At 37.1% G+C, this 16,496-nt stretch overlaps 1 protein-coding gene across 4 annotated transcripts in view; it reads left to right on the top strand.

The window, feature by feature from the left end:
• The window catches only part of DSC2 (desmocollin 2), a 43,582-nt gene extending 32,660 nt beyond the window's left edge, over window positions 1-10,922 (top strand). For 2 of the 4 annotated variants that reach the window (NM_004949.5, NM_001406507.1), the window contains exons 15-17: window positions 611-868; window positions 1,418-1,463; window positions 1,550-10,922. In NM_004949.5, coding sequence (NP_004940.1) covers window positions 611-868; window positions 1,418-1,453 — 294 coding nt within the window. In that variant the 3' untranslated portion in view covers window positions 1,454-1,463; window positions 1,550-10,922. The remainder of the gene's footprint in view (window positions 1-610; window positions 869-1,417; window positions 1,464-1,549) is intronic. The other 2 variants (NM_024422.6, NM_001406506.1) reach the window with 1 other exon arrangement.
• Window positions 10,923-16,496: the final 5,574 nt, after the last annotated feature.

Here is a 16,496-nt window from a genome sequence, read left to right as displayed (position 1 = left end):
GAATTAGAGTTGTACAGTATTCTAAGAGGCTTTTTTTTTTTTTTTTTGAGACAAGATCTGGCTCTGTTGCCAAAGCTGGAGTGCAGTGGCACAATCACAGCTCACTGCAAGCTCCGTCTTCCAGGTTCAAGCGATTCCTGTGCCTTAGCCTCCCGAGTAGCTGGGATTACAGGTGCCTACTACCATGCCCAGCTGATTTTTGTATTTTTAGTAGAGACGGAGTTCCACCATGTTGGCGAGGCTGGTCTTGAATTCCTCATTTCAAGTGATCTGCTTGCCTCGGCCTCCCAAAGTGCTGGGATTATAGACATGAGCCACCACAATGGGCAGGTATTCTAAGAGATTTTTAAAGAAGGAATATACATCAAGCTTCCTAATTTATCTCCAGGTACCAACCACTTGACAGTTTGCTTGTGTGGCTACTACGTTAAATTATGGGGTTTCCATAGTTGGGTATGCAGGATTCACAAAATAGATTTAGTTCCTGCTCTCAGAGAGCTTACCTTCTAGCATACACACAAAAAAAGGCATTATCCGCTTGATGTTGTTCTTTTTCATAATTTTGTGTTCCTCTCTGTATTATCCCTAATGCAAATTGTTTTCATTTCAGTATTCTGCGAATGGCTTCACAACCCAAACTGTGGGCGCTTCTGCTCAGGGAGTTTGTGGCACCGTGGGATCAGGAATCAAAAACGGAGGTCAGGAGACCATCGAAATGGTGAAAGGAGGACACCAGACCTCGGAATCCTGCCGGGGGGCTGGCCACCATCACACCCTGGACTCCTGCAGGGGAGGACACACGGAGGTGGACAACTGCAGATACACTTACTCGGAGTGGCACAGTTTTACTCAGCCCCGTCTTGGTGAAGTGAGTTTTCCTAAGTGGCCTACAAATCTATTTTAATTTTCTTTAAACTTTATAAATAACTAACTGGATTCTGACTATAATTTTCAATTAATTATGAATCTACTAATTCTACTAATTGAAAGCTATTATTTTTCCTCAATTTTAATTTAGTTATGTTCAGATTTAAGTGGTTATTTACTTCCCCTCCTATTTTTTTAATTGAAAGAATTACTAAATAATGTGTGATGAGATTTAAATTACTGTCTCATGGCTTTGTGCTAATATTTCCCATCTGACAACTTGTACCTTAGAAACCAAAAATGTGGTACCAGCAAGACCAGCATGTACTATCACTATGTCTATCTGGGAAGAACTGAGCCCATATCAATTTGTCTTCAGTTTAATGGATGCATGTCACTTTCAGCTAAAATTTTGAAAGGGAAAGTAGTGACTATGTAAAATGAACACCTGTATACTTGCTGCCACATGCGTGACTTTTAGAAACATGCTATACTGAATTTATAGTGTGATGTATGAAACAGACCAATCATGTGCATTTTTTATGTATAGGAATCCATTAGAGGACACACTCTGATTAAAAATTAAACAATGAAAGGTAAATCAAAGCAATTACTTTTATGTTAGTAAATTTTGGTGTTTAAAATAATAATAATAAAAACGTTGTGTTTTTCCCCTTGGCAGAAAGTGTATCTGTGTAATCAAGATGAAAATCACAAGCATGCCCAAGACTATGTCCTGACATATAACTATGAAGGAAGAGGATCGGTGGCTGGGTCTGTAGGTTGTTGCAGTGAACGACAAGAAGAAGATGGGCTTGAATTTTTGGATAATTTGGAGCCCAAATTTAGGACACTAGCAGAAGCATGCATGAAGAGATGAGTGTGTTCTAATAAGTCTCTGAAAGCCAGTGGCTTTATGACTTTTAAAAAAAATTACAAACCAAGAATTTTTTAAAGCAGAAGATGCTATTTGTGGGGGTTTTTCTCTCATTATTTGGATGGAATCTCTTTGGTCAAATGCACATTTACAGAGAGACACTATAAACAAGTACACAAATTTTTCAATTTTTACATATTTTTAAATTACTTATCTTCTATCCAAGGAGGTCTACAGAGAAATTAAAGTCTGCCTTATTTGTTACATTTGGGTATAATGACAACAGCCAATTTATAGTGCAATAAAATGTAATTAATTCAAGTCCTTATTATAGACTATTTGAAGCACAACCTAATGGAAAATTGTAGAGACCTTGCTTTAACATTATCTCCAGTTAATTAAGTGTTCATGTGGTGCTTGGAAACTGTTGTTTTCCTGAACATCTAAAGTGTGTAGACTGCATTCTTGCTATTATTTTATTCTTGTAATGTGACCTTTTCACTGTGCAAAGGGAGATTTCTAGCCAGGCATTGACTATTACAATTTCATTTTGGTGGAGTTTAGTTTTAGGTTTTATTGTATATAAAATCCTGCACTGAATCTGTGTCTCCTCTGTTACCTACTTTTGCCAGTGAAATTTAAGTTTTAAAATACTTTCAGAATGTATTTTTACTACTGCAAGTTTTTGGTCTTTAAAATGTCAAGTAGCATCTCTCTCTTTCTCTCTGTCTCTTTCTGTTTCTCTCTCCAGTTTTTTTTTTTTTTTTAATTTCCATATGGGCTAAAGAATCCAAATATTTTAAAAATCTGTCTCTCTTTTCTTCTCTCATAAAGTGAATTATTCCTTTTTTTTGTTTTATGTAAGTGTATATATTCTTAGTTTTTCTTGAAATCATTGTAATGTTAACTTTGTTGTTTCAAATATCTTGGTGATTGCTTCATTATCTCTTCAACAAAAAAAACCTTTAATTTTGCCATTGAAACTGTAGAACTATGCCATGCTTTTATTAGAAGCAGTGCTCTGTGTTAACAACAAGAATGGTGTAATTAGAATTGGGATGTGGATATTTACTGTATGACAACACATTTACAGTTCTGTAATGCAAGGATGCAGTTTAAAAATGTGAAGTAGTGATGGTTTTTGAAATAAGCTTTAAAATATAGGGATCTTGAAGGCTCCCTGGGGTAACTATTTTATAACTTAGATAAAATGGCTAGTCATATCTGTGTGTTTGTAAAGTTATTTTTTTAATATTTTAAGATTACAATTTTAACAAATGTAGAAATGAGCCAAACTATTTAAATTTTAAAACAGTAAAACAAAATGAAACTTAATAGCTCACAAAATTCCAGTCCATGTTTCATGACTTATTTTAGTCAATGAATTTTCTATTTATACTAAACATATGGACATTTTAAATGTGTTTCTAATATTTTTGATTATCTATAATGTGCCTGTCTTCAATTCACAAGATTGGGTTATAACAATTATTTGCCAGATTAACACTAGGGAATTATTTGATAACCAGCTTATCTTATCAGTAGTTTTATTGCTGATCAGGCAAAAATAGTTTTCCAAAGTTATTTTTAATAAAGTATATACAAAATTCTTATATATTACTAGTCATGATAAAGTAAATTAAGCAGTTTTTAAAACTTAGTGTGAGTTTGTTCATCACAGGTCTGATATGAGTTTAAGGGATTTCGCACTCCCTGAATCAGAGAAGTAAGACCCCTTCCTTAGATTCCTGTTATACATTTTTTAAAATGTAGAGTTTGTTTTGGAGACATTTTCAGTGCATTGTTATTGCCATATTTATATAATATGACTATTCTAAAGGCTGTGAGGCCATGGGGTATTGGTTAAGTTGCTTGCTTTTGCTTTGTCCATTTTCATCATTTTAAAATGGGGGATAATAACAGAACTTGTTTCCTAGGGCCATTGTAAGTCACTTGAATAAAAAATAGTTTTGAAGCATGAGAGTCATACAGAGCGGTCCACCTAAAAGGCACTCCTGATAATAATAAATGATTTTAAACAAGTCACATGTACAATTCATTTCATGTTAACAAAAGGTCAATTAAGACAATAAGATACTGAAAAGATTTTTCTTTTCACTGTAGAACATGTCTCTTCATAATGATCACCTGATGACTGGGTCTTGTATGTTCAGTTTTTCAGAATACGTAGTGCAAAGATTGCTGAGGCATTCGTATGGGATTGCCTGGTTTGAAACACTGTGAAACTGTAAGGTTCAAATTGGATGAAAAGCAGAACATCTGCTTCTTAAAATGGGCACTAATTCTAACACCCTATGAAAATTATGTGTATTTTAGATTCTCCCTGTCAATCCCTTCCTTGGCTTCTTCCCTAGCTGTCCAGCTAGACATTAGCAGTCACTTGCCTGGGAGGTCATGGCTGTTTGGCAGTCGTCATAGTAACCCCAAGTGCTAAGACTTCCAAGTAAGAGTGTCTTGATGCAAATTCCGGCTCTATCCTTACTAGCTGTGGGATTTGAGAAGTCACTTAAGCTTTCTGTGCTTAGTTTCCTTACTTATAGGACCTGTACTGAGGAGGGTAGAGGAGTCTACTTGACAGGGCTTTGTCAGAGTTAATTCATGAAAAGAGTTGGCATAGAGTTAGCACTCAATCATGTACCTTAGCCACTGCTATTGTTCTATGAGCAGAGAACGCCTGAGTTGGGAACAATTTAGCTTCAGTCTCCACTCTGCTTTACTGCTGACATCTTGCCATGATGCTCTTATTCACCTTTCCCAGAAGCCCGACCAGTATTTCACCAGTGATGGCCTTTGGGAATTTCATGGCTCATAGTAGCTTCCAGGTCTCTCATTTGTGGTATTCAGCAAGTTACATCTTATTCATCCCTAGCCAGAAGTCAGTGTGATAAATCTTGATGCTTAACTGAAAAGGCAGGTAAAATTCTCGAGGAGGCAAAATCATAAAGAGTTTCCCGAAGAAATGGCTGGTGCTTCTTCAGCAAATGAAAAGCAGCAAGATCTTCTGTTCCATGCAGTGTGTGTCTGGGGGCTCCTGGTAATCATTACTTTTTCTTTATTCCCATCTTAAGACTGTTTTTATCTTGGATCCCAATTCTGTTTTGCCAAATCTGACTTTGACTACGGGCTTCCCTTTTGTCTCCATCTCCATTCCTGGACTCCAGATTGAAGTCTTGACAACTGACTTTGCTCTGATCAGCCCCTTTAGTATCATCTCCAAAATAAAATGCTTTCCCTTCTTTGTGCCTAGAATCATCTTGTTTTTCACCTCCTTAAATATTCAAAGCCCTAAGAAGTTACCTGATATCCGTATAAACCTACAGCTCTTATATCAGCTCCCCTGCGAGCCCCCTGTTAACCTAGCACTTCAAACTCATGCAAAAAGACAAACACATACTACCACATCAAATCAGGTTCTCCTGAGTTATTTACACAATGGTGCCCTTCTTCCACTTACTTAGGCTTGAAACAGAGAATCCTTGATTCCTCTCTCTTCTTTCCATAGCATCCTCTATTTTTTGCCAAAAACTGCCAAACTTTTGAGAATTGTAGACACAATTTCATTCATTAAATACTTTGTTTGTACTGTAGTCATTTGATGCCTTCCCAGTGCAGTCATATGTAGCCTTTTAAAACAGAGACTAGAAGGACTGTGCTTCTATGAGAAAGTGCAAGATGAATCAGCCACTCTCCCCACCCACACACTTGAATGCAAGTCAAGACACGGTGGATGTAAGGAGTGGGCTAATGCCTGTAAAACACATCACACAATGCCTGGCACATAGTAAGTGCATAATGCATGTTTTTAAAAAGCTTCAGATGATGTGAAAGAACTTCAGGACACTAGTGAGTGAACTTCTGCTTCTGCTACTCCCAATCCAAGCATTCATGAGGTTGAGGTGTACCCTATGTCAGCTGTTCCCACTCTTCACTTCATTCCTGATCAATATTCCCCCCCGCCAGTACCCCAGATTAAATCTTCAGCATCACTCAGCTCCAATGGTGTTTATGCTTCCAATTTCTTCCCTCTTCTCTTTTTTCAAGGGCCATCAAAGAGCAGATATGATCATGCCATTCTGCCTAAGAGCTTTCTATAGGGTTTTAGAGGATAAATTCTAAACACAAAATCACTTTTAAATACAGATGCTTCTTGACTTATGATGGGGTTACATCCTGATAAACCCATGGTAAATTGAAAATATTACAAATCAAAACAGCATTTTCCATTTACCATATGTTCAACTTAAAATAAGCTTATTGGGATGTAGTCTCATAAGTGTAGGAGAATGCTGAATGCATATTTCTTTGACACCATCATAAAGTTGAAATATCAGATCGAGCCATCTTAAGTTGAGGACCTTCTGTACTAATTTCCCCAATCTCCTTGTATCCTTCATTTTTCAATTTGTGCCTTGCTCATGATTAGTTCTCTTTTTACAATGTCTTTACTCATTGTCTCTTTCTTTGTAAAAATATTACTTTTTGAGGATCTAGTAAAAATACTACCGCCTAGACATTTGTGTGTCTAGAGCACATGGCTGTAAAGTTTTCATCTACAGGTTTGTGTGTGTGTTTCTTTTCTTTCATGTAGGACACTAAGGACCAAGAAAGGTGTTCACAATTGCATGCCTATACAACTCTGGCCATTAATTTTTTTTTTTTTTTTTTTGAGACGGAATCTCACTCTGTCACCTAGGCTGGAGTGCAGTGGCATGATCATGGCTCACTGCAACCTCTGCCTCCCAGGTTCAAGCAATTCTTCTGCCTCAGCCTCCTGAGTAGCTGGGATTACAGGCACCTACCACCACGCCTGGTTAATTTTTGTATTTTTAGCAGAGAAAGGGTTTCACCATGTTGGCCAGGCTGGTCTTGAACTCCTGACCTCAAGTGATCTGTCAGCACTTGGCCTCCCAAAGTGCTGGGATTACAGGCATAAGCCACTGTGCCTGGCCAAATTTTGATTCATCAAATTATATTGCCCAGGTCATAAAGGAAAAAAGAGAAATAATAAAAGTTAGGTTTTTTATTCTCAGCACATACTAATTTTCTGTGGCATAAATTTTACATGATAGACATGGTGTATGTTAGATTCTGCACTGAATTGTTTTTCCTCAGAAGACATTGAATGACTAGAACAATTGTTTGCATTCACAGCTTAATACAGGAAAGTGAAGTGTTGAGATTTTGGAATCCCTTCTCCCTTGGGATAGTGAGAGGGGCAGACAGAAGGGGTAGTGTCTGAATATTGTGGTTCAGGCCAGCTCAAATCCTACCACCAATAATTGCACGAACCTACTTGTAGCCACCAATAATTGCCCCATATTGAAATGTAACCCCCAAGGGTTCTCCTCTGTCTTCTTGACCACTGTATGCCTAACATGTAGAGCAGTAGACACTGAATATATTTGGTGTGTGATGAATAAATGGATGAATGAATAAATGCACATGTGTGTTAGGTACCTGGCTAAGATCAGACTGCATATTGCCTAAAGAATTCTTTTTCTCAACTTGAAAATTTTTAGCCAATGTGAAAATTATGTTTGCGACTGTCACTTCATCATTGCCAGGTTCAAACACTGCAGTGAATTTTTTTTTTTTAACCAAAAGGCCACTCTCTAACCACCTGAGGAAAAGCAACTAAAAACCACTTATGTTTAGAAATTCAAGAAATGATTCTTATGAGTTTGCCAAAATTCCCATTAGTTATTTATAAAATGTTGTAAGTCAGGCCTTGCTTCAAAAAATATCTTGAGAAACCACAAAGCAAAGAAAGTGGCATACATCTACGAGCTTTTTCCATGTTAGGCTGGGAGAACATTCTGTAACAGGAAACCACCGTGCTCATGTGTGCCCTGAGAGAAGAAAATCTTCACACAAGAAGTAGAGAATAGGGAAAGAAATGCATAGCAATGAGCCTCAGAGGCAATGCCTATATTGTGCTGTGAACTGATAATGTCACTTGGAAGATAACACGTAAGAGGTAGTTCCCAGCCCTGCTCTTCTCACGTAGGACATGTAGGACAGACCTATGTGTTTTGCTTTCTGGGGAGAGGGGATCAGTTGTATGACCCCCTTTATTATTTCCTCTTCACCAGTTCTGGTTTTCTAGGTTTGAGGACTGAAATCTTGAGAAGTAGGATCTGATCTTTCTTCCAAGAAGCTCTTCTCTCCCCACCTGTCCTTGTGTTCTTTATCCCATCAATAGCTAAGAAGCAGAACCTATTACTTTTGCTTAAATGTTTTAAATTAAGCAAATAGATACATTATGAGGCTGCATTTTAAACTTTAGATATTTCAAATAAGACATGCAATATAGAGTCTTAAGGTAAAACAAAAGAGCATAATGCTAAAAAACAGGCAACAAAAAGAAGCTAGAGCTTTGAAATAGCTAGTCAGGTAAACAGAGCACTTTAATTTAAAAGAACACACCCTAAATCTTGTTTTATAGAGGAATTTTACTGTGTCATGGATTTGGAGCATATTCTTCTCAAGCCATTTGGTATATCCTAAATTCTAGGTATACGTGAGATTAAAGAAGAGATACTCACTGATGTGCCTCCGTATGGAGTGATAGTTGGTGCATGGGAAATGGCAAGGGCTGTTTTGTTTCATTCTCTCTTCCCTTTGTGACTGTACCTTTGTATCCCTACAGAAAATCTGGGCATAGCTGAGAGGTTAGAATTGTGGAGTTTCTGCTAGCCACATCTTTTCTGTTTACTTATTTTGTTAGGATTCAAGGGAGAGGACAGAGCAGAACACTCACTGCTTTTCAGTTAACAAATATGAAGGCAAACTTGCTGATATATTCGCTTGTATAATTTTTAGAGTGTGTTTCACTGACCATCAGCATCAGAATCACCCTGGTGTTGCTGAAAATAGAGATCCCTCATGAATCAGTCACAGGAGTAACAGGCTAGTAGGGGAAAAGTATAGAAGCCTTCACTTTTCAATACATTTTCTAGGTCATTTTTTCTTACTCTAAAGTTTGACAATCGTTAGGGTTTTAGTAACTGGGTTTATTGATTATTTGGTGGTTTATGAAACTTAAGTATTTAAAATTTGCCTTTTCATATAAAACATATTAAGCAAAATGCTAGAAATGTACCAAAGAGTTGAAACACATTGATGAGTAAAATTTCACAATGTCTGCAAATTAAGCATTTCAGAATGTACATTGTTCCCTGTGGTTTCTACTTTCTACATGCATGTGAACGAGAGAAATAGTCTTAAGGTAGGAATGCAGAACAAAGCCACACAGAAAACATTTAATAAAAATTAACAAGTTTTGCCACATAAATGCTGCTAGTCAAGAAGATGTATGCAAAGTAAGTTGCATATATTTTTAAAAATCAGAATTGCCAAATCTCCAGAGATAAATAGAACTAGAAAGGTCAACAGCAGGTGGAACAAGTGACTGTCCAGAAGGCAGCAACTGTTTGGCATCACTGTGCTGTTGTGTGGGGACCTGTGTCAGGTGGGGTAACAGGTAATGCTCACTGACTGTGGCGGCCAGGAGCTTCAGAGGGGCCTGTGAATCAGGGATGGGAGATGAGGGTAGAGACGAGACTTTTCAGCTTAAGGAGTGTTCCCCTGGGAACAGGGCCAATTGGAAAACTCCCAGGCACCAAGGACATGAGTTAACCAATAGGGAATGAGAGGCTCAGAAAGCCAGAGGTGAAAGGAGCAGAGGGTGTCAATATACACAAGATGTGATGCAGAATTACCAATGAAATCAAGTAAAAGGGATTTATCCAAAAGAAGTAAGAGAATAGTGTAAAGATTCTACTCACATGCAAGGATGTTTGTCTCAGTGGCATTAAATATATGAATAACTGAAAATAAACTAAATGTTCCATGACAGGGAAGTAATTAAATGATGTATGATCCATTACTGTGATACAATGTACCATAATTGAGGACAATGGAAACAATGATCACACACAGACTTCGCAGTCAGAAAGACGTGGATCCAAATCTCAGCTTTGTTCTTGCTGTGTTACCTTGGGAAATCACAGAAACCTCAAATTTCTAGCATATCAAATAAGGACAAATTAGGAATAAATTATATAATTCACATAAAGATCCTAGCTTACTGCTTGGCTCATCAGTATATCAATAACCAGCAGCTATCACTATTGTGATATGATGATGGAATATCATGCAATCATTTTATTTTGAAAACTTTAATTAAATGGGAAAAGACATAAACTATAGTAGTATTTTAAAACTAGGATAGGTTTCCAAATTATTATAATCTCACATTTAAATAAATATGAGACTATCTGTAATACACTAAGATATTGAGTGATAAATCCTCGGTAAATGAAATATTTATTCATTGTGTGTTTCCATGTTTTCATTTTACCACAAGCATTTATAATTTATAACATTGAGGGAAAAGTTCATGTAAATGAAATACAGAGCAAGAAAAACTCACAGGCTTTAGAATTTGGGGAGCTTACAGGCCTGTGAAGAAAAGCCTTTTCATCTTAGCTTTAATAAATAAAGTTTTCACTGAACATATTATATTTACAGTAAATGATTAAATTGAAAGCAAAAAGAAAATACTGTATCATCTCACATTATCATAACTGAGTGCATTCATGTGCTTTTGGTCTTAAAATTTTACTTTAACGCACTTAGGATTTGTCGTCAGTAATTTGTTATGCACTATCTAGACTAAGAATAGGTATTAATTTACTAGAATTGTCAAATGAAATATTTCAAGCAAAGTTTGCATAATGAATGCAAGTTTAAACCAATTAAATGTGTTCACTTTTTAGCAAGCTAAGCTGCTCCTTATTTCTCCTGTAGTAGACACAATCACAGTTAATCTTTGCACAATGCATCGCATTCTCCATGCAACCTAACAGAGCGGTCTGGGATAGAGCCTGAACTTTGGGTCCCTTGGGGCCCAACAGGCAAGGTTCAGATCTGGGCTCTACCACAAACCATCTGTGTAACCTGAACCTCCCTAGTCTTCAGTTTCCTCATCTGCTTTAAAAAATTGCTAGAACATAGTTCTATGTAAATGTTCGGTGTTAAAATTTATTTGGTATCTACTGTATGTAAGATATGGCCTCTGCTCTCAAAAATATGTAGTCCCAGAAGTGATATAATATGTTCACGGAGACGTACTATTAAAAAGTGCCACAAAAAATCTGTAATGGAATGTTCTTACAAATATTACGTGTGCGTGTGTGTGTGTGTGTGTGTGTGTGTGTGTGACCTTTTTTAGCAAGAGATGTCCCAATCCCTTCACATTTACATCATTACAGAATTCCTTTGGAATCAATGGCAAATGTCCTCCTGTGGGGAGCCAGGTGTACTGTGAGTTTCTGTTATCATTCAGGGAAGAAAGCTGTCAAAAGCTTGCTTGTTTTAAAATTGTAAACAAGTTAGTGCTGGACATTGGGAATTTTACCTTATTATAATAAACAAAATCAATTTTGTTACTTGTTGAGCCTTGTTCCGGCGGCAGTTTAAGTTATTTATTAAACAAATAAATTGAGTCCTTTTGAGGTTTCTTCTTAAGTTTTCTTAGGGCAGGTTTGGTGGAGACTTTAGGGCTAACTTAAGTCCTTTGCTGAGGTGTGACTCCACCAAATGTCCAGAGTTTTCAGAGGAAGATCTTTTCTTTCCACTGCCTCAAACTTCAATAAGTTTGCTACTCACTTAGATGCCTTATGTGCATGGGGCTTTCTGTGGAAAACAAGAAATGGAGGCTGTATTTCACACCTGGGGTGTTGCAGTGTGGAATCGGGTGGAGCTCTCTAGGAATATGTAACAGAAAATTGAGTTAATCAAGAGGAAGGAAGAGATCAGAGCGGTGTGTAGGCAGAAAACTACAACAGGCTGTCTAGAATACCTAGACAGTCCGGGAGCACTCTAATATCCCTCCACACAGGGAATGGGACACAGCCTATTTCATTTGAATCTGAATTATAGGATTAACAAAAGTGAGCACTTGGGAAAGGAACCTCCGGCCATACTTCTAGTCATTAATAACCATCTTTATCATACTAGTAATACTGCAGCAGATGAAATTAACATTTTAAAGACAATAAGTTTTTTTTTCACAATAACTCTCCCTTTCTGCAGAAATTTCCTATTAGAAGAGCTGATACAGGTTTAGTGGTGTTCGAAGTCCTACTTATTCCAGTTTAAAGGTCAATCTCAGTGCGGTATGATATCTGAAAGAAATACAAATCTAAACCCAAAAGTTTTAAAAACATAATGCAGTTACTACATGCCTTCTAGTAAGAAAACTAGCAGAAAAACACAGAGTTAATAATGTGTTTCATACTTATGTCATAGCAAACACAAAGTTAACATACTTATGTCATAGCAAAGCTTCTCAAAGGCAACAGAAGGCAAATTTGGTTATCTCGGGAGTGTGAGAGAATGTATTGGAAGGATATCAGAAGTTTACAGATTCGATAGGCATGCAGTGAAATAGGAAGCAGAAACAATAGATACTGTCTTATAATGAGGGCAATACAGACAATCTCCTGTTTTAGTTGTCCTCATTATGGTGGTTGAAGTTTCTTTGCAAAAATAAAAGAAAGAAAATCCCAAATACCAGTCATTTTCAGTTATGTTAATGCAACTCACACAAAATTTTTATACAATCATCAGTTAATTTAAATTCCTCTTTGTTGCCTAACACATAGAAATCTTATGAAGATACATACGATTATAAGAACGCTTCTACATAATAAAAATAATCCTGAAACCCTCTGTATGGTTGATGGATTCATAGTCTCACACGGCTGTAAACAATAAGGTCTAGGATGATGAAATAATTTGGATGCTTTCCTGGAGACCAGAGCAGGATTTAACTCGCAGATACAACTTCATTTTCTACAATTATAATTAGATATGCTATTTCTTCCAAGAATAACGTTAATAATTTTAACCCTGCAATACATTTTAGGTTTAAGCAGAAAAGAAAAAAAAAGGCAACACTTTCAGTTTTAATCATTTTTTTAATTAAAACGTTAACATTTCTAAACATTTTCTTTAAGAGAAAGGGATTGAGGATTAGGCATTTGTGCCCTCTGCATTAAAATATGTTTCATCTTGGAACAGCACATTTAAATAATGTTCTAAAGCTTTTGAAAAAGCAGACTGGAAAACTAGATTCATTATGTTGCACCTAATTGTCCTCTTAGCATTCTAATACAATGCTAAGATAAAGCTTAACACTATAGATGGACTTTCATATTTTCTTTTATTGAGCAATGAAAATGATGTTGCTCTAAAACTGTGTTACTTTGGCTGAATAGCCAAGAAATAATAAGCAAAATTCAAGACTCAATGATAGCAATTAATGTATCTCAGTTGCCTCACTGATACCTTATTATTTTTATCTACTTTACATTTTTAAATTTCCTAAACCTTCTTTTAAGAAAGGAGGCAGCGGATAAACATTGATTAAATACACAAAGTGCTTGTCTACTCTCTTTTATTATGTTAATGTCAACAAGCAAAGACCAGGATCAGGGAGCACATATCTCCCATCACCACTTCACAGCTGCCTAAGGGACCAACCCCAGGAAAAGGGCTGGCATTAGAACACATTACTCTCAAACTTTCTAAGAGCTCTTCAGGATTACTCCTGTCATGACTTGTACAACCAAAAATCTAAACTTCTCAGGTTATCCATTGTCTCTGAAATTCTTATTCTCTCGGGTATGGTGATTATATAATTTAACTTCCAAGGTAGAACACTTTTTAGAATGAAACAAGGTGCTATTAAGAAACAGATACCTTGGAATGACATTAATAAGCCATGACTGTGCAGGACAAACTGAGATTTATGATCTAATCTTTCATCCATTTCTGTGCCCTCATATGCTTCCTTCTGCCTTCTGAAATTCATAGTCTGAATCCAAAAAAGTCACCCTAGACCCTTAATCTCTTTTCTGACCATTTTCTTCACCTTGTTACTCTTATTCTTGAGTGAAAAAAAACCCCTCAGGCCACCCACTTTCCCCAGAGACCTATCAAGTGGTGGCCAATTTTTCCTTCCCACATTCCTGGGACAGGTAGATGTCTTCCTCCCTCATCATTGTCACTGGCAATGAGGACCATTCCTCCTCCCTCCTCTCCAAAAAAGAAGTCTCACATTCTTTGGTGTGAGTGCCACTTGACCACAACACCCATCATACCTTCTTGCAGACACCTATTGGTGTCTAGAAATTAATAGACATTTAGATACTCCTCCTCATTCATTAAATATTTCAGCATCTAGTGCACTATTTTTTATGTAATTCACCAATCCGCTCTGTTTTCTTCAAAATGTAACCATCCAAATCCTCTGATAGCTCAACCCCAAGACCTTTTTGCACCATCTCCTTTCATTTATCTATTCTCATGCCTGTATTTTTGAATTTCCAATAGCCTCTAACTGTACCACATCCAAAATTGAAATTTCAGGCATCATAATCTCTAAAAACTTCCTGTTAGCTTTCTAGTTCTCTTACTCTAGCACTCCTATTCCAAATATTTAGCAAAACTGGAAAGCTCTATCACTTCATAGGCTCATTGATCTCATTTTCTTCCTTTCTCAGCTTAAATTTACTTATTCATTGTTTTCATCCATTGTCCCATAACTCTCAATTCCCTCCGCTTTCTCCCCTCCTTTGTAATCACTTGGCAAGACCCCATTACTTGATAAACACCATTTTCTACCTACTTTGTGATTTTTACTTGAGCCCTGGAACATGGGGCCCTGGAACTCTCATTCTTGACCCACAATTGTACCCTGTTACCCAAGTTCAGGGATTTTGCAAACAGTGAGACACAACCCAGTGGAGGGACATAAGATTAATTTCAGAGGTGACAACATGCATTATCAATGAATTAGAAGACGAGAATAGAAATTGTCAGAGTATATTAGACATAGGAATAGTAAGTATTGTTCACAAAACATTTGGTCCAGATTGTATATATGAATTGCAGAAGAGTTCACAATATTAGAAATATTAGAAATATTTCTTATAGTGGATTAGAGTCAACAATTCAAAACACTGACCTAGTCAATTTTCTATTTTACACCTACCCTTTTCTCAAATCTCTAACCTGCCTTCCTCACTTTACTCCTGATTTCACATACAAAATAGGAGAAGAAAACTCCCTTAACTTTCCACCACCAACAATACTAGACTATCAACATCTGTACCATATACACTGACTTATATCCTCATTGGATAAACTTTCTTCCTATTTAAGGCAGCCACTCTATTACTACATTGGTTCCTATGAACTTTTGCTTCCTCTGTCTCCTACATCTTTAATTATTCACTTTTGCTTAGCTCATTCTTATTAATAAACAGAAATGTCTAATAAAAATAATAGGTATCATGTACATTAGTAGTTATTATGTGCCATATCCTGTTGTAAAATTTTACATTTGTTACTTATTTTTATTCTTACCCAAATCGGGAATTCTTTTTCTTATTATTTTATGGACTGAGGCACAGAGGGTTAGATAACTAGCTCAGAGTGACAATACAATGCGACAGAATCAATATTTGAACTAGGCAGTCTGGCTCCTGAGTCTGAATTCTTAATCACTATGCAATTTGCTTCTTTCATGTGAATAAAACTTCTTTACTAAGTTGCACTTCAGCTATTTTTTTATTTTCTCCAGTTCCCTTTATGACACTGTAGCAAATCTCTTTTGTGTGGCACAACACAACCCCTCTTCACCGGGTTGTGGCATAGCTGAGGCTGATGGCTCCTTTTATGCTGCCAGTGCCCACCCGCAGCACCTGTGAAGTGTCTTTTGGTCTGTGTGTGGGTACGGCTCCAGAGGTCAGAAGAGTTATTGTTCCTCAGGGCCCACTCTCAAACAAGGGGGAACAGGAGTCAATGAATATGTGTCCTGGTTTCCAGTTTGTTGAGCAGACCCCCCAGTGGTTTCCTGCTTTCTAGTATCCATGCTTTTGTGTAATTTTCTTTCTCTGAAACATTGGTAGGACTTATGAGTTGCTTTTCATCAATAGAACATGGCAAAGTAAGAGGATATCATTCCTGTGACTACGTTATATAAGACTCTATTTTAGAAGACTGGAGAAGAAGTTTTCCTTGCTAGCTTGGAAGTAACAGCCACGTTAAGAAAGTCCACCTGGTAAAATCCTCTAGAAACTCCAGGTGGCCTGTAGGGCTAAACAGTGGCCTCCAGCCAATAGCCAGCAGAAAGCAGGCCTTTGGTTATACAGCAAGAGGAAATCTGCCAAGAACATGACTGGGCTTGAAAGTGAGTCCTTTCCCAGTTGAGCCTCCTGATGAAAACACAGCCCAGCCAATGCCTGGTGAGATTCTCAAGCAGAAGACCCAGCTCCGTCATGCCTAGACTTCTGATATACAAAAACTGTGGACAATAAATACGTGCTGTTTTGAAAGATTTGGGCAGCTCAGAGTTACTTAGTAATAAATTTTTTTTTTCAGAATACAGCTCTGAGATGCATTCTACATCATATCTTAGAGGATATTACCCACAGGATTATACCCATGGCATAAATCAGCTCAATAACACACCTCTTATTGATTTTTATATTTTCCCATTCTCTGCCTCTGCCTCTGGGTTTACATCCCAATAGAGTAGCATCACTCACATCTGTGTTTTAGGTTCTGCTTTCAGGAGAACCAAGATGTGACAGGCGTGAGGGAACAAAGATCTGAGAAACATCTGCCTCTGTCTTGTTTTCTTCATTCTTTTACCTAG

The sequence above is a fragment of the Homo sapiens genome, chromosome 18 (assembly GCF_000001405.40).
Source record: "Homo sapiens chromosome 18, GRCh38.p14 Primary Assembly".
NCBI lineage: Eukaryota > Metazoa > Chordata > Mammalia > Primates > Hominidae > Homo > Homo sapiens.
The sequence above is the reverse complement of the archived record's forward strand: the minus strand, read 5'-3'. Positions and strand labels throughout refer to the sequence as shown.